The 21,071-nt window shown below is 44.2% G+C and overlaps 1 protein-coding gene across 1 annotated transcript in view, besides 3 other annotated features; it reads right to left on the bottom strand.

Moving 5' to 3' along the window:
• Positions 12,338-13,056: a transcriptional cis regulatory region, noted in NCBI's record as "candidate enhancer chr9.1735 targeted for multiplex CRISPR interference". NCBI's record gives its function as "positively regulates TGFBR1 gene expression with high confidence in K562 cells {active_cell/tissue: K562}" and the evidence as "EXISTENCE:mutant phenotype evidence [ECO:0000015][PMID:30612741]".
• Positions 15,441-15,941: an enhancer, noted in NCBI's record as "H3K27ac hESC enhancer chr9:101834521-101835021 (GRCh37/hg19 assembly coordinates)". NCBI's record gives its function as "activates a minimal SCP1, AML or CMV promoter by ChIP-STARR-seq in naive H9 embryonic stem cells {active_cell/tissue: H9 hESC(naive)}" and the evidence as "EXISTENCE:reporter gene assay evidence [ECO:0000049][PMID:30033119]".
• Positions 15,942-16,442: an enhancer, noted in NCBI's record as "H3K27ac hESC enhancer chr9:101834020-101834520 (GRCh37/hg19 assembly coordinates)". NCBI's record gives its function as "activates a minimal SCP1, AML or CMV promoter by ChIP-STARR-seq in naive H9 embryonic stem cells {active_cell/tissue: H9 hESC(naive)}" and the evidence as "EXISTENCE:reporter gene assay evidence [ECO:0000049][PMID:30033119]".
• COL15A1 (collagen type XV alpha 1 chain) overlaps positions 17,393-21,071 on the bottom strand; it is a 126,881-nt gene continuing 123,202 nt past the window's right edge. Inside the window, exons 41-42 of the mRNA NM_001855.5 lie at positions 19,510-19,625; positions 17,393-18,507 (exon numbers count right to left, since the gene is read on the bottom strand). Coding sequence (NP_001846.3) covers positions 18,294-18,507; positions 19,510-19,625 — 330 coding nt within the window. The 3' untranslated portion in view covers positions 17,393-18,293. The remainder of the gene's footprint in view (positions 18,508-19,509; positions 19,626-21,071) is intronic.

The raw sequence follows: 21,071 nt of genomic DNA, 5'->3' as shown, positions 1-21,071 counted from the left end.
TCCAACGTTGCCAGAGTGGGCTCTCTCTCAAGATCCCCAGACCCCCTCTTCTTGCCCCTCTGCTATATGAGATACCTAATGTCATCCCAGACAGCCAGCACAGCTCTGCAGCCTCCTCACTCAAGGTCCTGATTTCCTGGCCTCATGCCATCTCCATGTGAGAGGTTCTACTGTAAGTTCTTGGGGGCTTGTTCTCAGGAGGAAGGTGAGAATTTGCAATTCAGACTTAGGAGTTCAGGTTCAAGGAACTTGCAGACGCAGTGACTCCTGAAAGTAGTCTCCAAAGATTCTCCCTCTTGGGACAGAATATGTTCCAGAGACTTGGGGGAGATGGAGTCTCAGGTTGGAGTCAGGTAGTATATCAGTCAGAGTCCCAGATGAACAGGTGGCACACTTAAATGGGGTAACTTGAGGTGAGTTTAATAAAGGAATTATTTTTAAAAGGGATGGCAGGGTATGGGGAAACCACAAGAGATAATGCAGAACCCCAAAGGGCTCATCAAAGCATGAGTAACACCAGGTGCTGTTACCTGCCCAGGCCTGAACAGGTAAGTGGACGGAGAGCTACTGATACCAGGAGAGGGAGTCCTGTGATGGGAGGAGCCACTTGGTGGGAGCTGAGGTTTTTAATGGAGGGATGCAGCCAGCCCTTGGAAATCCCACAAAGAGGGAACCGGGCAATAAGCACCTCAACCTCACCCTCGCCTTCTTCTTTTCCACGTCTGGTCAGTTGACTGAACCCAACTGCAACCTGCAGAGTTATAGTCCAGACAGCCCAGGTTGCAAGGCACAGAGCAAGGGGGGTGTGGAGGAGAAAATGGCTCCACACAGCCTTGCTGTGATGAGGAAGGTCCACGGGGATCAGACTTGAGCAGCATAGCCTGACCATCAAGATGGGAAACCGGGAAGGTACCAGAGATGACAAAAACATGGTCAAGTAGTCTCCTCGGTAAGACAAACTTCAGACCATGGAATTCAGAGACCAGAAAGGCCACTGGAAGGCAAAGGTGCTATGAGCAAAGCCATGACCTTGATGTCTGAATCCAGTTGCTCGCAGTGTTTAAACCAAGACAAATTCATATCTTTGTAGAGATATTTTTGGCATGCAAGAATCAAATTCATTTAGCAATTTCACTTGCAGCACCAGGTGGAATTTTCCAATCAACTGCTTTCAAGGACATTTAGAAGCAAATCTATAGCAGACACTCCGTTATTTACTTTATTAAGCATCCTTGAATGAGTTAATGAAAAGATCCTTGTGCAGGGATTTAAAAAACCTCAGTATTAGGTTTTGCACTTCCTCTAACTCACTGGGTCCTTTAAGTCACTCCATTTTCCTCTTTGGATCTCAGTTTCCTTCTGTGTAGTGTGAGAGGGTTGGCTGTGATCTCTTCTGATCCCTTCTGATTCTGGCATGGTAAGATTCTAATGGACGCTGTTCAGAACAAGTCATATTTCAGCACAGCCAACTTGGCGGTCACTACATGATCCCATTTTTTGTAAATTACAATATTGTTTCTTTGAAATCCCTCTTTAAAATTGCTCCATTTCTCTGATGCAGCAAAGAAACAAGAGAAAATAATTGCTTTCCCGTGGACTCATGCCCATGAAAATAAGCCCAAGTGTACTGCTACTAAAAAGAATCCGTCTGCCACACTTCCTATTTATTTGGCTTTGGAGAATTGGACAGAGCAGAACTGAGGGAGGCATGATCCACCACACTGAGTCATCACCTGCAATGGCTTCCCTCTCCAAGAGCCTCCAAGAGCCCAGCGAACAAATGTAGGGCCTGCTCTTACAACCTCCTGCCTCAGTACACTTCTCCACAAAGGAAGAAATGCTCACTTCCTCATTACGATTCCTGCCCACCAACTTCGTCGTTTCTTGTTTAAGTTAGGAAAGAAAACAAAAACAAGCCTTTGAATGCTCGCTCTTTTTTTAGGTCCTGGCATTAAATCTGACTCACCGTAAGAGGGATCTGTTGTCTTTGCCTGAGCAGCTTCTCTCTCCTTTCTTAATGAGGGCAACCATCCTCCCCTTCTTCCCTTAGATATCTGCTCCTCCCCTAGTCCAACCACAGGGTTGATTCTGGTGGGAGTGCCAATCACAGATTCTTAGCACCTGGCCACAAAGACTATCACCTGACCTAGGCGTGACCATCCCCCAGCAACTGAGATTGAATGAGGAAACTGATCAGTTTGAATGAGCTTTGATCAAAGCTGGGATAATCGGCTGGAACTTATGTCCAGTAAAGCATGGGGAGAAGAGAGAACCCCTCTTCTTGCTTTGGCAGAGCTGAGCTACATAACATGAGCCAGGAGATTAAGCCCTGCCCTTGCCAAGATGAAGCCATCTGCAGTCAGATAAAATGAAGCCCAAGCACAAAGAAAAGTTGAGACCAGTTATGGAAGGAAAGGGATGGGAGAAGGGAGGAGAAAGACTTGACAATATTATTTGTTTATCTGGATGCAATGATCCAGATTCCAGACCCATCTGGCTTTTTTTACAAGAGCCATTAACTGTGCTTTATTAGTTAAGCTAATTTTACTTGGATTTTTGTTCCATAACTAAAGAGACCTGAATAATACAGAAACTGATATCTGCAAATGAGGACTTGTAGGTAATGGTCCCTGAAATGTGGAACTGTCTGAGGCAAGGTAGTGAGGAGCTGCTTCAAGAGATCTAAAGTCAAAAGATGTCAAAATGGGTTGACTATTTCTCATGCCCTTTAATGAGGCATGGCCAAAAAGGATGTTTCCATCCAAGCTGGGCTGTTTGAAAGCAGAAGAGGAACAGCAGGCAGATAAAAGAAAGGCTCCTTCTACTTGCAGCAAGATTCCAAGACTGCAGAGAGTTTGATGGTCTTTTTCCTTAAAGAATTGCAAAAGCAAATTCTGTAACTAGGAATAGGGATCCCTGAGGGAGCTGGAGTAAAGAGGGAGCACCTCATCTTGAAGCAACATTGATAGCAACACTGCTTAGGCCTGTGTTCATCACTCAGCTCTCCCTCATCACTCAGAGCATCAAGGCAGCTGAGGCCAGGAAGCTGAGTCCCTGGAGAATGAACACTTCTCTAGGCCTGTGCTGAGGAGCAGAAATCCTTCTAGAATGGTGGCTATTTTACTGCTGCCCTTAGATAACCCCAAGTTCTCTAAGGGGTAGGACCCACAGGAGGGCAGAAAGAACTTGCTCCTCTGGCAGCAAAGTAAGTCTGTACTGTCCCTATCCAGAAGGATGGGACATAGGTTCCTAACTGATGGCAACTGGAATTGCTTCCCCATTTCTCCTTATTTTATTTTATTTTTTGAGAAAGAGTTTTGCTCTTGTTGCCCAGGCTGGAGTGCAATGGCACAATCTCGGCACACTGCAACCTTCACCTCCCAGGTTCAAGCGATTTTCCTGCCTCAGCCTCCCAAGTGGCTGGGATTACAGGCATGCACTACCATGCGCAGCTAATTTTTTGTATTTAGTAGAAACGGGGTTTCACCATGTTGGTCAGGATGGTCTTGAACTCCTGACTTCAAGTGATCCACCAGCCTCAGCCTCCCAAAGTGCTGGGATTACAGGCGTGAGCCACTGCGCCCGGACCATTTCTCCTTTTTAAGTGGAAATCTTGCAAACATATATAGGTGTTCCTCAACATACACTGGGGTTATGTCCTGATAAACCCATTGCCAAGTTGAATATATCATGTCAAAAGTGCATTTAATACCTAACCTAACATAACCTAACATGGCTTAGCCTAGCCTACCTTAAATGTGCTCAGAATGCTTCCATTAGCCTACAGTTGAGCAAAATCATCTAATACAAAGCTTATTTTAGAATAAAGTATTAAATATTTCATGGTGGTTTGCCATTGTGATTGTGTGGCTGACTGAGAGCTGCGCATACTACAGCTGCCCAGCATCACAAGAGAGTATCATACTGCACATCACTAGCCTGAGCAAAGGTCAAAATTCAAAATTTGAAATATATTTTCTACTTAATATGTGTCAGGTCTACACCATCATAAAGTCAAAAATCATAACTTGAACCATCCTAAGTTGGGACCATCTGTATAGCGTGGTTACATGCATCATTTAGTCCTAGGTGGCAAGAGCATGAGTATAGGCTTCTCAATGATTACCTGATCCAACAATTGCTTTTGCATTTATTCAGCACATATTTGTGGGGTACCTACAAGGTGGCAGACACTCTTATAGACCCTGGGGCTGTAATCATAAAGAAAAAAAGCACAACAACTATAAATGAATCTTGCCTTTACGGAGTCATTTTCATCCCAGGAGGGAGCATTGTTCTCCAGGCAGTCGGCCAGCCAGGTCCAAATCCCAGGAATCATTATTTCATAACTGAGACCTTTCAGCAAGGCTCCTCCTCCTAAATTCATCCCAAATCTGCCCACTTCTCACCACATCCACTGTTTCAACCAGCGCCCAGGACATGATCATCTCTCAGCTGAATCACTGCATCAGTTTATTAACTGGTCTACTTGCCTGTAGCATTGTCGCCACAGTCTACTCCACACACAGAACAGTCACAGTGGTCTTTCCAAAACAATGATCAGTTCATACACTATTAACCTAATAGATCTGTGGAGAGCAAAGCTCTAGATCGTTGTATCCATCTCAACAATAAAATGAATGTTAGCCAGAAGAGGTGAATATGCCTTCGTCAGACTCTCTTTGTGTAAGTAGTCAATGTTGGTTTTATTTTTTCTGACAGTGGAAAATGTCATAATGATCCATCCACTTACAGAATTTGCTGCCTTGAAAAAGTAAAATCCGTCCAATTATATAAGCTACATCCAGTAGCTTCTCAGAGCAACCAGACATAAAATCTAAGCCCCTTACCTTAGTCTACAAAAGCCTAGGTATCCGCAGCTGCCTGCCCATCCTCCCTTATTTTTCTGTCTCCTCCCACGCATACTCTTGCTCCAGCTTCTACCAGCGCCCTTCTGCCCCTCAGCCACAGCAAGCTACTTTGCGTTCAAGGCTTTTACTTTTGCTGTTCCTCCTTCTCGGGACCCTCTTCCCCTAGATCTTTGCAAGCTCACCTCCTTTCCATTGTTCAAATGCAGCAGGATGTTTGATGAGGCTTTTCCTGTTTGGGAATTCCAGCTAAAGCCCAGATGTGACAACAAAGAGGCTCTAAGCATGCCACCTTCTCAAGACAGCTGCCTGTCATGGCGCCAGATTCCTCTCCCAGGGCTTATCATGGGAGGTGGCTATCCTTACCAGATCTATCCCTACCAGGCTTCCTGCAGCCCTCCTTCCCAATCTTCATGAGATGCCTGTAAAGGGGTAAGGAGGGGAGTTAGTGTCGGAAGCATCTGTCTTGTGGAAAGTGCAGTGTTTGTGATGAGAAGTGACTCCTCCCTGCTAAGCTAACTATTGGGGAGACTCCAGAGAACCAGGCATAAAGCAGGAGATCCCTAAAAGAAGGGGCAATGGGTATGCTCTTCCCTTCAAGTTGGATATTATTTTCTAATCTGCCCTTGGATTTATCTGATTAAGTAGGAGATAACTGGAATTATTTCAAGTTGAAAATAGGGGCAGAAGGGGAGCTGCCTATACATAGCCCTACAGTTGCCCTGGCTCAGGGAACCTTGAAGAAGGTGGTTGGGCTTGGTCCCATGAATCCTCCAGAGGACTGACCAGCATTTGAATGCCTGCCACAGTGAGGGTATCAGTGGCCAGCATTAGCCAGAGAAGCAGTACCAGCCAACCCAGAAAGAACTGCAGCTGTGGCCAGGTGAGTAAGACTTTTTTCCAGTTTCTTCTCCTTTGGCCCACCTCAAATACACAGGAAGGGCTAGGACTTGAAGAAGGAAGGGGAGTGGATATCTGAGACCCAGATCATACCCTTTTTCCACTTTCTTTTCTAGAAGTCAATGTCCCAGCTCAAGAGTGCTCCATGTGAGGTCAAGAGAAGGGAAAAAAGATTTAAACGGAGTTTGAGATTGAAGCCTTAAAGAAGACTGGACTTTTAATAATCAGAAAGTTATGGAATCCTCCTGTGTCTGCCCTGGACCTGTTTGCCCTCACCCTTTCCCACGCCTGCTATGTACTGGGGCTGGGACCTCATCCCTGCAGGCTGTGCTTCCCCGGGTCAGTTACTTTTGGTTATGTGGCCAAAGGCAGGCACAGGTGAGGGACTGGAAAACAAGAGGAAGGAAGATAATCAAGGTATTCGTTGTCCACTCTCTCTATCTCCAGTGGAGTTTCTGGCCGTGGGTTTTTCCTCTTGTATGACTCTAGGCCTCGCACGGTCCAGCTTTCACCCTTTTTTCATAGTTTCTGGGCTCTGGTCACACATCCTCCTCCATTTGCCCCTCTTCTGACAAAATCTGGGTAGTCTTACTGTCCTCTGTTCAGTTTCTCACCTTTTCCATCATCCATGTAACTAGTTGTCTGCATCAAATTCTGTCTGTTTCAGATACTTTTTTTTCCCCTTATACACAGGGTCTCATTCTGCCACCCAGGCTGGAGTGCAGTGGTGCCATCATAGCTTATTGCAGCCTTGAGCTCCTGTGCTCAAGCAATCCTCCTGTCTGAGCCTCCTGAGCAGCTAGGACTACAGGCATGTGCCTCCACACCCAGTTAATTTAAACAAAAATTTTAAAATTTTTTTATAGAGATGCGGGTCTCACAATGTTGCCCAGACTGGTCTTGAACTCCTGGCTTCAAGCGATCCCCCTCTTCAGCCCCCAACATGCTGGGATTACAGGTGTGAGCTACTGTGCCCAGCCCCATTTCAAATACTGATAGTGCTGTTTGTCTTTTGGATGGACCTTAACTCATATACTTCACCAGAGTCTATAAAGGTCTATGTTCTGAGGGACAATGCTATAGGGATAGCATAGTTGGGATAGCAATGGCAAGAAATCAAATGATTTCATATTTATACCTCAATCAAGACATCTTAATAAACCAATGACAAACATCTCAACCCAACTGTCATCTCTTCAGAAGGGCCTCTTCACGTGAGCAAAGGCAGCACATCCCTCTCCCAATCACATTCCGCTCCATTACCTTTACCTTCTTTTGGCAGTTTTCAGTACCTGAATTCATCTTATCTATTTATTTGTTTGCATGTTTACTATCTATCTCCTCCCGTTGGAGTATAAGATATTTGAGGACAGTTACACGTCCTTTTCTGTACTCTTATGTCCTCAATACATAATTACTAACTGACCAGCATCAGGGTCTGATTGAATGGAACGTATCTCACCCAGCGACCCTTGACTTGCAACTGGATGTGATAGTTGGATGTTGCTTTGGTTGTCAACCCTTAAGGGCGAGGTGACTGCATTGTATTATGTTTGCCTTCTTGGAATTCTATACGTGGAAGAGTCTACGTGGCATTGTCTGTTTTACTCAAAGGGTGGAATGCAATGAGCATCATTTATTTTCACTTTCCTGTTACTATTTCTTTCTTCTGTAGCATTCTCCTTTCTTTCAGGAACTGTTTCTGTCCCACCCATGAAACTATCTAAGAATGCAAAATTTGGGGAGGTGAGCAGATTTTCCATAGTCTTTTTTTTTTTTTTGAGGCGGAGTCTCGCTCTGTCACCCAGGCTGGAGTGCAATGGCGCTATCTCTGCTCACTGCAAGCTCCGCCTCCCAGGTTCACGCCATTCTCCTGCCTCAGCCTCCCGAGTAGCTGGGTCTACAGGCGCCCGCCACCACGTCCAGCTAATTATTTTTTTTTAGTATTTTTAGTAGAGACGGGGTTTCACCGTGTTAGCCAGGATGGTCTCGATCTCCGGACCTCGTGATCCACCCACCTCGGCCTCCCAAAGTGCTGGGATTACAGGCGTGAGCCACCGTGCCCGGCCTCCATAGTCTTTTAAATTTCATTTGTGTTTAGTAAGCAATTCAGACATTTTCTTTATTTTTTTTTGCATTGGTTTTTGTCATTACATTTTCATAGCACATTATCTATTATATCTATATTTTAAAATTCATATTAGTAAACTGTATAAGTCTCCTTTAATTTTTAAAATATCTTCTGTGTCAGTGGTTTCTAGCTTTTTCATTACAGTTTCCTATATGTGTGTTTTTCTCTCTTTTGCCAGAAGTCTGCTTCTCAGACTTGCCAGAGGTTTCCTTATTTTTTGTTTTCAAATAACCAAATTTATCTCTTTTTAAAGTTTATCAGGTTTACTGTGTTTTATACACTTTGGTTAATTCATTTTTGCTTTTTCTCTTGCTGACAGAGGATCAAATATGTTAAAACATGTCATATCTACTGTCGTTGCTCTAACGGGAGCCAAAAAGCAATATAGAACTATGTGGAAGATGGGGCTATGATTGAAACTGATGATGAGGAGTGGGAAGGCTGGACTGCTAAGTGGGATTGTAGTTGTTGCCTCTTGTGTCTGTGTCACACTCATTTAGCCCATCTCTGATTTCATTCATACCTGTGATAGACTGTCTGACTCACCTTCTGCTGCTGGTGCTCTACCTCAATACTCATACCTCTTGTCTTTCTTCATTCTGTGCTAGGGCCTTCTCCTAATGCCAGGAAGCTTTCCAGGCTGGCCCAGCTCAGAAGTGCCGAGGAACTCATACCCTATGGGCAACCCTCAACCAATGCACAATGTTGGCCAATGAACAAATGCTCCATCCTCCTCTCCACTGGGTAGACACTTGTGGGAAATATTCTGCATACTTCTCAGAGGTCCTGGTGGAACTGAGCTCTTGTTGCTGACAATAGTGACCTCACAGTGTGTCTGTTGATGGACTTTTCCTCTTTCTCTGTTTTACTCTCCCTATCTCCTTGCTCCTACTTCCTGGGATCGCCTGCACTAAGTCCTTGTCTCGGGCTCTGCTTTGCGGGACACCAAAACACTCATCACCACAGTCCGGGAAATGTTTGAGGTGAACACAGAATAGAATTAATTGTAGAACTTCTAAGCCGGCTTCTCTCCTGCTTGGGGAGATGTCTTGAAGAAAACTACAGTGCATAGATGAACAGAAAATGCTGTGCTATTTAAGAGCTGTAACACTGAGACCAGGCAGTTTTACTGTGGGCATCTTAAACAAGCGCAGCGCTGTGAGAAGAGGCAAACATTCTTGAACTACAAGAAAGCACTGTGGAATCGATTGGCAGAGAACTGTATCAGTGGCAGCTGACATGGTTTGGGGGACAGGACCACCAGAACATCTCTTCAAGATCACCATGACTTCAGCGGAGTGCCCCAAAACACCAGCTGGGCAGTTACTGCCAATGGAGTGTTGACACCAGGGAAGTGAATCTAGCCACAGGGGACATCCTGGAATTCCCTTCTCCCAGGAGGTACCCACAGATAAACAATGAGCTGAACTAATTCCTGGGCAAATAGAAGCAAGCCTAGAATATTTGAAGGAATAATTTTTGAAGAATATTTGAGAGAGAAGAAGATGACTTTGTGCTAATTTTGTACCTAGGGCATCAGCCCTGTAATTTAAGTTTTAGAAGAAACACAAACCTGTTTTATCATCACAGTTGGGTAAAGTCTGGAATGTATTTTACAACCACGTTATTGACAATTATTCGGCTCAACATTTCCGAAAATTCAGTCAGTTGTCTATCACCTACACTACAATGTATCATTTGTACTATTACTTACCTAATACTTTCCTTTCAACCAGCCCACTTTTTAAAACTTAAATACTTACTTTATATTAAATACAAATAAATATGAAATTATGGATTTAGTATCTACCTATATTTTCCTAACAACTATTGAAATAAATATATAACTGTTACAGTAAAAACCATCTCAATCCATATGTGGTAAAAATACTACACGTTGGGAAAATTGATTTGGATATAACCGTAAGTGATCTTGACTTTGTTTCTCATTAGATTTCTATCATCACATCCTCTGCTTTGTGAAATACTAATTCCTGGTTAATTTCCATTTGGTTATAATCCTTCCACAAAGTCTGTTTTTCAGAAAAGGCACCTGGATGCTATAATTTTGAGTTTTGACACTTCTGAAAATGTCTCTCTTTGTTCCCATACATGAAAGTTTGGTTGGCTGTGAAATTTTAATATAATTCTTAATCCACGGGATTATTTATACTTTACCCCATTGTCTTCTAATTTTCAATATTGCAAATAAGAACTCCAATGCCAATCTGAATTGCTCTCTATATAGAAGTGTGTAGGATTTTACATCGTTACTGAAATGCATAAACTTTACCAGAAATGTACACAGGTGGATATTTTGCAACAATTCTGCCCAGGACTCAGTGAATCATTTCAATCTACAGATTATGCTCCTTCTTTAGCTCAGGAAATTTTCTTTCATTTATTTATTTATTTATTTATATTTATATTTTGATGGGGATAGTGTCTCATTATGTTGCTCCGCTGGTCTTGAACTTCCAGGCTTAAGAGATCCTCCTGCCTCAGCCTCCCAAGTAGCTGGGACTACAGGCTCCAGCCACCGCACCAAACTTCTTTTGTTCACTGGTACTTCTCTTCCATCTAATATTCTCTTTTATTCTGTGACTCCTGTTATATAAATATTGAAACATTATGTCTATCTCCTTCCCTCATCTTTTATTTCATGAATTTATCTTTTTGTCTGTGTCCTTTGAGCAATTATATTAATTCTTTTGATCTAACAATTCATTAAATCAGGTTTCAGTAGCATATATGCTGTAGTTCTATTTTATTCTGGTGATACAGTCGTTCTTTTATTTTCAAGGACTGTTTCTTATTCTCCCAGTATTTCATTTCATGCTTCTTTTACTCTCTGAAATTTTACTGAGAATACCAATTTGCTTTCTTTTCCTTGTTTCCAGTGGAGTTGGATGAAAATACAAATTTGAATCTTTAAAAGTTATCTCCTGTTTTCTGTAATCATTCTTTCGAAACAGAAGCCATTGGCTCTGATTAACTGTTGATTCCCTTTTGGAGGCTGCTAGATCTCCTCAAATGATTAATTGGTGTTTGTTGTTCTGTACTGATGTTCATAAATATGAAAGCCCACATTGAAAGGACTGATAGGTCTTCTGGGTGCTGTCAGCAACTGCACAAGTCTCTATGAGCTTCCCCCCAGCCTTTTCCCAGCTTATTTCTGTTTCAGCCTCTACTGGCACTTTCCTGTGGCTATCAGCCTCAGGAGGGACTCGAAGACAGGCCCTGCCTTTGCTGCTGTGGTTATAGGATAGCCAATCATAGCAGGTTTCTATCTTCCAGAAAGTCCTCAAAGTTTCTGCCAGGTTGAGATAGTTCTTCCTTTTTTAACAAGGGGTTGCAGGTCTTTTTTTGTTTGTTTTTTGTTTTTTCTCTGTTGTTTTTATCATTTCAGTAAGGTTTGAGGAAAGTATTGTAAGCTCAAAGTGTTATCTTGAAGTAAACCTTGTGTGACTTCCTGCTAGATTGGGCCTGATACTGCAGTCTCTGGGGTGCCCCGCCCATAAACCCCCAAGTTCCCACTGCCAGCATCCACGTGTCTGCCTGAGAGCATTCTGTGGCAGCTGAGCCCACTCTGTCGTGTGCAGCAGGCCAGAAGTACTGGAATCTCATCCAGTGCCTCGCCCTCCTGTTTTTCAAAGACTGAGAGGGGTTGGTGTATGAAGACCATAACATCCTTGTCCCTTTGGTTGGAAACTCTGAGGTGCCAGACTGCACGGGCTCCCAGAACCCTTAAGAGGACAGTGTGATCTAGTCACTCACAGTGAGAACTAGATGCACCCTTTAAAATCTTCCTTCCCATCCCTGTCTCATTTCTCTGCTCTCTTACCTTGTTTCTTGGGATCGCCTTGCAGAGAAATTAATGAATCCTCCTCTAAAGGGAAACTCAAATCAAAACACTAAGTATGACAGGCTTTCTAGAAAGCTCTCTCCCCTGGTGTGGAGAATGAACTGGAGGAGATGGAACTGTAGAGGCCAGGAGATGTGAGCAACAGTCCTAGGGAAGATAAGAAAAGAGCCAGCACCACATTGCCTCAAGGGAAGACCACCACGTGCAACGCTTTGAAAGGCCGAGGCAGGAGAATTTTGTGAGGCCAGGAGTTCAAGACCAGCCTGAGCAACATTGCAAGACCTTGTCTCTACAAACATATATATGTACTAAACATACATATATTAGTACATATGCATATATATATATATGTATATGTACTAAAAATTAGCCAGGCCTGGTGGCACACACCTGTAGTCCTAGCTACTCAGGAGGCTGAGGTGGGAGAATCACTTGAGCCCAGGAATTAAGGCTGCAATGAGCCATGATCACACCACTGTATTCTACCCTGGGTTAAAGAGTGAGATCCTGTCTCAAAAAAAAAAAAAAAAAAAAATCAAAGTAGTCATCATAAAAATATCCCAACTCTGCAGAGCTTCCTAGCACTTATTTTATGGTTTATTGTTGTTATTTTTATTACTAAGGAGACACTTAGTCAATATCGTTGAATAAATAAAAGATTCCTAGGCTCCTGGCTGGATGGTGGAGCCACTCACTAAGAGAAGGACCAGAGGAAAAGGCACAAGTTTGGAAGGAGAGGAGAGGGAGGCAATTTCCTCCCACAAACATATCAGATAACAGGGTGCTCTGGGTCCTTCTTGGAACTCAGGGCCCCCAGCAGGCTCATGCAGGGGGATGATGAGATGACTAAACAGTCGCTGTGGCATGTGTGCCTGTCTATCAGAAGGAATTCAGCCCTCTTGTCAGCAGCCGCTAATGAGCCAGATGATAACATTTTACTTGTTGGATTATGAAGGGCAGGAGCAGAGGGCCAGGATAGTCCAGACATTCGGGGTCGTGGGACAACGGATATTTACCAACAGCAGGCAGAGCTGTACTGCTATGTATACATTGAGTCCCAGCCCTGTGCCTGAAGACAGGCAGAGAAGCCAGGCAGATTGGAAGACACCAGCTAGGATGGTTGAAGGAGAGACCTTCCCCCAGCTCCTACTGAGAGACAACTGGAACAGGCCAAAGATAGCAAACACTGATTGGACGCTTACACGGGGCCAGAATGCTGTTCCCAGTGCTTCCTGTAAATTAACTGAAAGGAGAGTAGTTTCCATGAATGTCCCCCTTTTACAGATGAAGAAACTGAGCTGCAGGGAAGGACTGAGTGTGGAGGACTATTTTCAGTAACTTGGAGTTTTTCAGTAGCTTGGCTATGATTACATGGTTAGTAGGTGGCAGGACCAAAATTCAGACACAGACCAAGGCATCTCTCTATTTACCGGCCCTATAAATTGGAGTACAAGATGGAAAGCAAAAGGAGAAAATCAGTTAGTGGCTATCAAAGAGGTTTGAGGAGGCTCAGTGGTGTTTTGATGGACCAGGAGCTCAAGGGGTAACCAGAAAAGTACTTCTCCAGCTGTTAGGATAGACAAGGACTGCATGCATGTGCTTGTCCCCCACTGGTAGGGTTTCTGAGGAGGTGGAGAGCAGGTGGCAGGAAATATACAGGAGATTTGAAACAGTCTGTGGCATTAGAATGGACTTAGTAGATTTGAAAAGTGGGGGCATCATTTATCTTTGTACTCCCAAGTCCAAACATGATCCTGGGTACAAATTATTATTCAAGAAATATTTCTGAATGAGTGCACAAATAAACAAAAAACCTGCTTGATCTTTCTCAAACATGGATCCAATACCATCTCTTACCTCATTTAAATATTCCCAAGGTGCCCTACCAGTTGTGAAGCAGCAACATTGTCTCGGAGTTTGTCATCTTGCACCAAGAAGTTTAAGGACAGGGACACATGTGAGTGGGTCAAAGAACGGAAAGTTTAATAGGCAATAGGAAGGTGAGAGGAGAGCAGCCTTCCCTCTCATGAGGAAGAGGTGACTGAAACGGAAAACCTGCAGCAGATTTTATATGCATGCAGGCTTGAGGAGGCGGTGTCTGACTTAAGTAGGGCCCACAGATTGGTTTGACCAGATGCGACGTTTACATAGCACTTGGGGAAGGCTGGTCACCCCACCCTAATCTTATTCTGCAAATGGGCCTTCCACTTGGCCAGCGCCATCTTGTCTGCTCCTTACTGTACACGTGGCTGGCAAAGAGAAGGGAACATGGAGCCATCATTTTGATCATGCCTAGTCCCAGGTAGCCTTCTCCTATTGACACAAGTGCCAGCATTCACCTGTGCAAGCTTCCAGCTTGCTTGTCTATGTCTGCAGCTCAATTTTACAGGCTGCTCTTTGTTAGAAAAGAACATGATTGCCTGGGTGTGGTGGCTCACACCTGTAATCCCAACACTTTGGGAGGCCAAGGCGGGCGGATCATGAGGTCAGGAGATCGAGACCATCCTGGCCAACATGATGAAACCCTGTCTCTACTAAAAATACAAAAATTACCTGGGCATGGTGGCATGCTCCTGTAGTCCCAGCCACTCAGGAGGCTGAGGCAGGAGAATCGCTTGAACCTGGGAGGCGGAGGTTGCAGTGAGCTGAGATTGTGCCACTGCACTCCAGCCTGGTGACAGAGTGAGACTCCATCTCAAAAAAAAAAAAAAAAGAAGAAGAAGAAGAAGAGAAAGAACTTGATTTTGGGGCTGCTTTTCATTAAAAGGAAAACCTTACTGAGGATTCCTGTACCCTCACTATCTGCCTAAGTACTTTCTTCTTAACTACTACGTCAGTTGCAGGATAAAGTCTAAATGCCTCATCCTGGATTTCAAGGCCAGCATGATCTCACCTCTGTCTATTATTTCACTGCAACGTCCCCCACACTTGATCTTCCCTGCTGCTGTGTGTGGTAGAATCTATTTTGTTGGCCCTGTCAACCTTCTATCCCTCATTTTCAGGTCATTGCAAATCCCCATGCATTTTGGATGGAGGAATTATTCCTTCTGCCCAACTCATTTCTGGGGTGGGGGCTGCCAAACACAGTCATGGGCCTGTGATACAGTTGGAACCAATCAGAGTCCTTTCCAGGAATTCGTATCATCCCAGTGGGAGAGGAAGTCTTCTCTTTCCTCTGGAGCCACTCTCTGGGGTGGTGGAATAACATAAGCCTAGAGCTGTTTGCAGACATCTCTGCCGCATGAATCTTGTCCTCACTTGGATGGAAGGAGCCATATTCACAGAAAAAGAGAAGCAAGACAGATAGACATAGTCTTACACACACACACACACACACACACACACACACACACACACATACACACACCGAGAGAGAGAACAGAGTGAGTGACCACATTGTCATGCCACGTTGCTTGAGTCTCTGCATCCCCGTCCTACCTGGTTTCATGAGCCAATACATTTCTTTAAAAAAAACAAACAAACAAAAAAACTTGTGAATTTGAGTTGTGTTCCCTTTATGGACTAATAGAAAGTGTCTTGACTGCTATTCAGCTGTACTGGATTGCTGATGGTTCCCAGAATTCCACGCTGTCTCTGACTTACACCCTTTACAGGTTCAAGAGACACCATGCTAGCCACATGAAGTCCAGGAGGAGACGGGAAATGCAAGGATGGCTCCTGCAGCCCATTCTCCTTGTTCCCTGGGTTTTTCTTCGGTCTACTCTATGTGGCCACGTCCAGGTTGCCAGGGGGATTCTCCTGGACCACCTCCTTCATGCTCTCCCCACATACCTGCTCAGACCCTCTGCTCCTGTGCACCCTCCAGAGTCTGCCACCTTATGGAGCCTGGCCCCTGACATGGGCTGGCAGCTGTTTCTATCCCTCTGGTTCTGTTGCTGGGTAGGGGCTTTGGCTGCTGCAGGCTTCAGACCCTGAGGGTGTGCAGTATGGACTCACAGCAAGTCTCCAAAAGACCTCTAGCACGATAAAGATGAATTACTCGTGACAATTCTTCCCTCCCTTATCATGCCTGAGACTGTTAATTGGCTCAGCATTCAGGCACATTTGAGACATCCAGGCATGGGATAGAGTGAAGGCTTAGAGGCCCTTCCGCCATTGTGTTTCAACTGTGTAACAAGACTCGGATGCTACACATGTCAGGTGTTCAGAGGAGGAAGTATGAGGAAAGGCAGGCAGGTTTGGGAGCTGGGGGATATCACAGATGTGCTGGCCGTTGGCAGAAGGGCCAGGCTAGGCCCGGAGTGTTTAAGGCTTTCCTGAGATGGGGTGGGGCTCCGATGACACAGCCTGCAGAGGAGCCTCTGTGGCTTGTCTGAGTGACCTTGAGGATACCAGGGTGACGGTTTTCAACATGTGACGGGAAAGCTTGGGCAAGGGCTGGTGTTTAGTGAATGTCAGGTCCAGGATTTTGACACTCATTCTCCAAGTCTAAATGGGGCTGGGGCTGACTCAGGGCCTCCTTCTGGGTCAGCCGGTTATACCTCCTCTGGTGCATGGAGAGGCCTGAATGGCAATGCCATAAGCCTCAATACTCTTTCCAGGGTTAGCAAATGAGGTCTCCCTGACTTTGGGCTCCTCCCCAAAACCCCAACTCACATTGCCTCTTCTGTAACTCTGGGCCAGGTGGGCTGTGACAGAAATGGACGGTGTCTGCGCTTCGTGGCCTTGGTAGCCTCCTGCCCGCCTTCCCCTTGCAGTTCCTGTCCATACCAAGCACCCCCAGCCCTCATCACTCAACGGATGGGCTGGTCCTCAAAAACCACCTCTCGGGCTTTCCAGCCTCAAACAGTCTTCATTCTGTGACTCATTAGGAAGATTCTCACCACTCATGTATTTATGCAGCCCCTACATGGAGATTCTGGGCTGCCTTTTTTTCTTTGTTTTTCCTCTTTGATTTCCTTCCTACTTCAAGGATTCTGAGGGCGGATTCACTTTGCTGAGCTTCTGGGCCAGCCCAGCTGAATGGGAGGAAATATCCCAGCATACTTCTTGCCTGGTGATTATGTTTCTCCTAGAGGGTCAGACCAAGAGCCAGAGAATCACATGCTTGCAGCTGGGAGGGAGCAGAGAGGCAGGCTTGCATAGGGGTTCCTTGGGAAGATCATAGGCCCCGACGTGAGGCAGACCCTGAGTCTGAAACCAGCCCTGCCATTCACCAGTGTATGATCTGGAACAAGTAACTCCCTGAGCTTTGACTTTTTTTTTTTTTTTGCATTGTAAAGTAGAGATTAAAAAACTACTTTGCAGGGTTATTATGAAAATGAAATGGGATATATCAGAAGTCTGATATTTAATGACTGGTAGCCAATACTATGCTTGTCTTATCCCAATCTCCTTGAGAGACAGAGGCCGACTTGCCCAAAGTCATGCCCTGAGACGGTGGCAGAATCACAGCTCATCCTGTTTCCCACTCTGAGGCTCTACACAACCTACACTGGCCCCACTAGGTGGAAGACAACAGCCAGGGCAGATGAGCATGATGGGAAAACGTTTCAGTTCTCTGATCATCGCCTGGGGGCAGCACAAGTGGCAGGATTAGCAAACCCACCCCAGGTCTGCTTCCACATCAGTGATGGAGAATAAAGGAACTAGCGGGAAAAAGTCAAATGAAGAAAGCACCCGGAAAAGATGTTTTTATGTTCACTTACATGGAAAAAAAATCCAATTATACAACATGTAGATATATGTTTCTCAGAAAATTCATCTCTATGAACCTGTTTGTTTCAGTCGCAGTTATAATTCAACAATTGCCAAATGGAAGTCATAAAATTGTGGGGTGGGGGTTGGGGAGGAGAGCCGCCAAGGGGAAGGTAGTAATTATGTGCTATTTCTTTTCTAGTTTCAGATTATTTGGAGTTTCAACTTTTCCAGCAAGTCAGAGTTACATAAACAGACACCATACTAAAATATGATTGTGTAAAAATATAAAATTCCTAAAGCATGATGGCAATAATATTTTAGGGAAAAAAACATTAGAGTCTGATAGCATCAGAAAATACAAATAGGATCATTTGAGCAGTCCTGTTTCTGTGTACGAACAGCAGTTGCAAATGATGGATGTACGTGAAAGAAAAAAGCATTTGATCTGTATATAACTTAGAAAGGGTAACATTTCTAAACACTGACTTTATAAGAAAACATGAAGGACATCTTACACTCAACAACAATGGTTTAAAAGGAGGATATAACTGTCTGAAGGATGCAGTGGCAGAATGCCATGGCCTTTGTTTTCAACTTGCTCTTAACCTATGTTGGGATGCGTTCACACTGCTGGGGTTTCCTGCAGAATCTAGCACCAATATATGGATCAGATTTTGTCTTTGATCTGAGTCCTCTATGTCTTCAGTTTTGAGTGTATTGAGGTATGTTTTCTTTGGTTGCTGTTGTAAAGAATATGTAGTAAAAAAAAAAAACTGTAATATTTACAACAATTAAACATTTTAGATTTCAGTGTCAACTCTTCACATAAGAAAAAATTGAAAACTCTTTAAGAATCATCAGAAGGCCATTACTTCCTAGCGTCTGTCATGAAACTGTTTTCGATACATAGGACAATTAGCCGATTAGCACAGCTGTATGCTTTCTGGTCCAGAATCTTCCCCGTGCTCAGCGGGGAGGCAAGTCCCGTGACCGCTGTGTCCGCGGTTCGCCATGCTTCACAGTAGTTATCCACAAGGCGGACGCCATGGGGGCTGGAGCCATGCCAAATGACTTTCTGGGGCCTATAAAGTAATTTTGTCATGTTATTTTTCAAAATGACACTTCTTTGTGGTATTTTTTGGTAAGCAAATTGGCATAAGTCTAATGAATCAAGTTAAACTCCTTAACCCTGATGCCAAATCACTTCTCTATCCTCATTGCCCTTGCTAGCTTTCTTAACACACTAGATTGCAGCCACACCCAGCTTGCAGTTGTTTTCAAATCACACCCTCTTCTTTTGTGAATCTAAACCTTTGCTCATGGGGTCCCTTGGTCTGGAGGGCTTCTCTTTCATTTTCAGACCAGTGACTCCTTCTCATCTTTCAAAGGCCAATAAACAACTTCCTCTTGCAGGAAGCCATCTCTGATTCTCACCCCTAAGTAAAAATGAAAACAAACATATCCTGTATATCCTATGGTACCTGTTTCTCCACTTACAATTACAATATTCTGTCTAGAGTCACAGTTAGTGTGTGTCTATTTCCTCTGTAGACTGTGAGCCCTGTAAAAGTAGGAGCTGTGTGGGTTTATTATTGTGCCTTCCAGGCCTGGCCTCAGGCCTCGTATAGAGTAGGCAGTGAGGAGAGGTTTGCTGAGTTGTTCTATTCTGAAAAACTCACATAATTTTCAAGATTTAGAGTGCAAATCACAGTGTAGAGTTACAGGATCCCCAGGAGTTGCATTGCTTACCACTTATTATGTGCCCACTGCGTGCTATATGTTTTCACATATATTCATTTTATTCTCACAATTCTATGACATAGATGTGGTTATGTTGCCCATTTGACAGGTAAGGCAGCTGAGGCTCAGAGAATGGAAATGTCTTGCCCAGGATTCCATATTGAGTTACTGGACCTGGGTCTTCTGACTCCAAGGACAAGGCTTTCTCTGAGGCCCTCAGTTGCCTCACTGTGGCTTTATGTTGGCAATATCCTAGAGAAGCAGCTGATAAAGGCATCCCATTGTTAGGATGCCCCCTAAAACTATCTATCACACCATATCTGAGAACTTCCACCCTCACTTACCAAGAAGGATCTGTCATTATGTCTCGACCATCAAAGGAGTATATTGGAATATGCATATTGAACTGACCTCCGTGGCCAGAAAAAATTGAGTCCCAATTATTAAAAAGTACTTGGCCCTATAGAGACAAAATACCACATTAGAATCATTATACCATCAGCCTACAAATGAGTTAGATTTTTACTCTTTTTTTTTTTTTTTTTTTGACACAGTTTCGCTTTTGTCATCCAGCCAGGCTGGAGTGCAATGGTGGGATCTTGGCTCACTGCAACCTCCACCTCCCAGGTTCAAGTGATTCTCCTGCCTCAGCCTCCCGAGTAGCTGGGATTACAGGCATGCACCACCATACCCGGCTAATTTTGTATTTTTAGTAGAGGCAGGGTTTCTTCATGTTGGTCAGGCTGGTCTCGAACTCCTGACCTCAGGTGATCCACCCACCTCGGCCTCCCAAAGTGCTGGGAATACAGGCATGCACCACCACACTTGGCCGATTTTTACTCGCTCTTCAAGGCCCAGATGCCACCTCACATTAGAGTCTCCAGCCCCAATCCTAGAGCCTGGACAGAGTGAAAACTCAAGAAATGTTTGTGGTTTGATTTTATAATCCATCCATGAACGCTTTTGCTTTTACTGTCTTATTTCTTGAGGGAATTTCTCTTATTAGAAGTGTATACAAGCCTCCTTCCAATCAAAATTGTGTTTTATGTCTTTATTTTATTATTGTTATTTTGAAAATATTATGCATACATACTAAGCTTCAAATTTGTGGCAGGCCTTGTGCCAGTCTACACTGTGGGTGAGATGGAGATGAACTTTTTAGTCCTTTTCCTGAAACAGCCTGGTCCCTTGTAGAGAGATCCAAGAATAAAAATAATTTCAGTGGGTGAAGGTGCTGGAACAGAATTCTGGGAGAGGAGGTGGAAAGTGCTGGGTATGGGGTTAGGATGGAACTTGCTAGCCTCAAGGTTTTAAATTGGAGTACTGGGGTTGCAGAGACTAAAGGGTCTTGAAGTACCTTTAAGAAACAGTCATCAGGACCCAGAGCTTCTCCACGGTGTATGTGAGTGGCAACGAGGTTTCTCTGCATAGCCTTGAAAGAGTCTGCTATTTCTATGGAATAATCGAGGGATCCTACAAGGCCCTGTCTTACCCACAAATGGGGCAGAGAAATATCTGCTTAAATGGGCACAGAACACCAAAACAGGGTTCAGGACAAAGTGCCCTAGTTTGCAGTGATTTTAAGCAAACTGGTTTCTTCTTCTGAGCCTCAGTTTTCTCATCTGACAAACTAAAAAATGAATAACTCTCATGTTTATTAGAAGTCCCTATTAAGATAATGAGGTACTTTGTAAACAAACAAGAAAACCCTGTATCAATGAAAGAAGTTATCACTATCTCTCCTCCTGCATGCTCCAAGGGTCACACAAGCATAAAGAAAACTGAGGTTCAGGGAAGGCAAAGAACCCACCCAAAGTGACATAGCCAGTAAGGGAGAGAGCAGGCTTAAGTCAACAGTCTTCTGTTGATGTCAGGAATGAAAACTGCCTCCAGGCCCTGTAGCGAC

Source organism: Homo sapiens, chromosome 9 (assembly GCF_000001405.40).
Source record: "Homo sapiens chromosome 9, GRCh38.p14 Primary Assembly".
Lineage (NCBI taxonomy): Eukaryota > Metazoa > Chordata > Mammalia > Primates > Hominidae > Homo > Homo sapiens.
The sequence above is the reverse complement of the archived record's forward strand: the minus strand, read 5'-3'. Positions and strand labels throughout refer to the sequence as shown.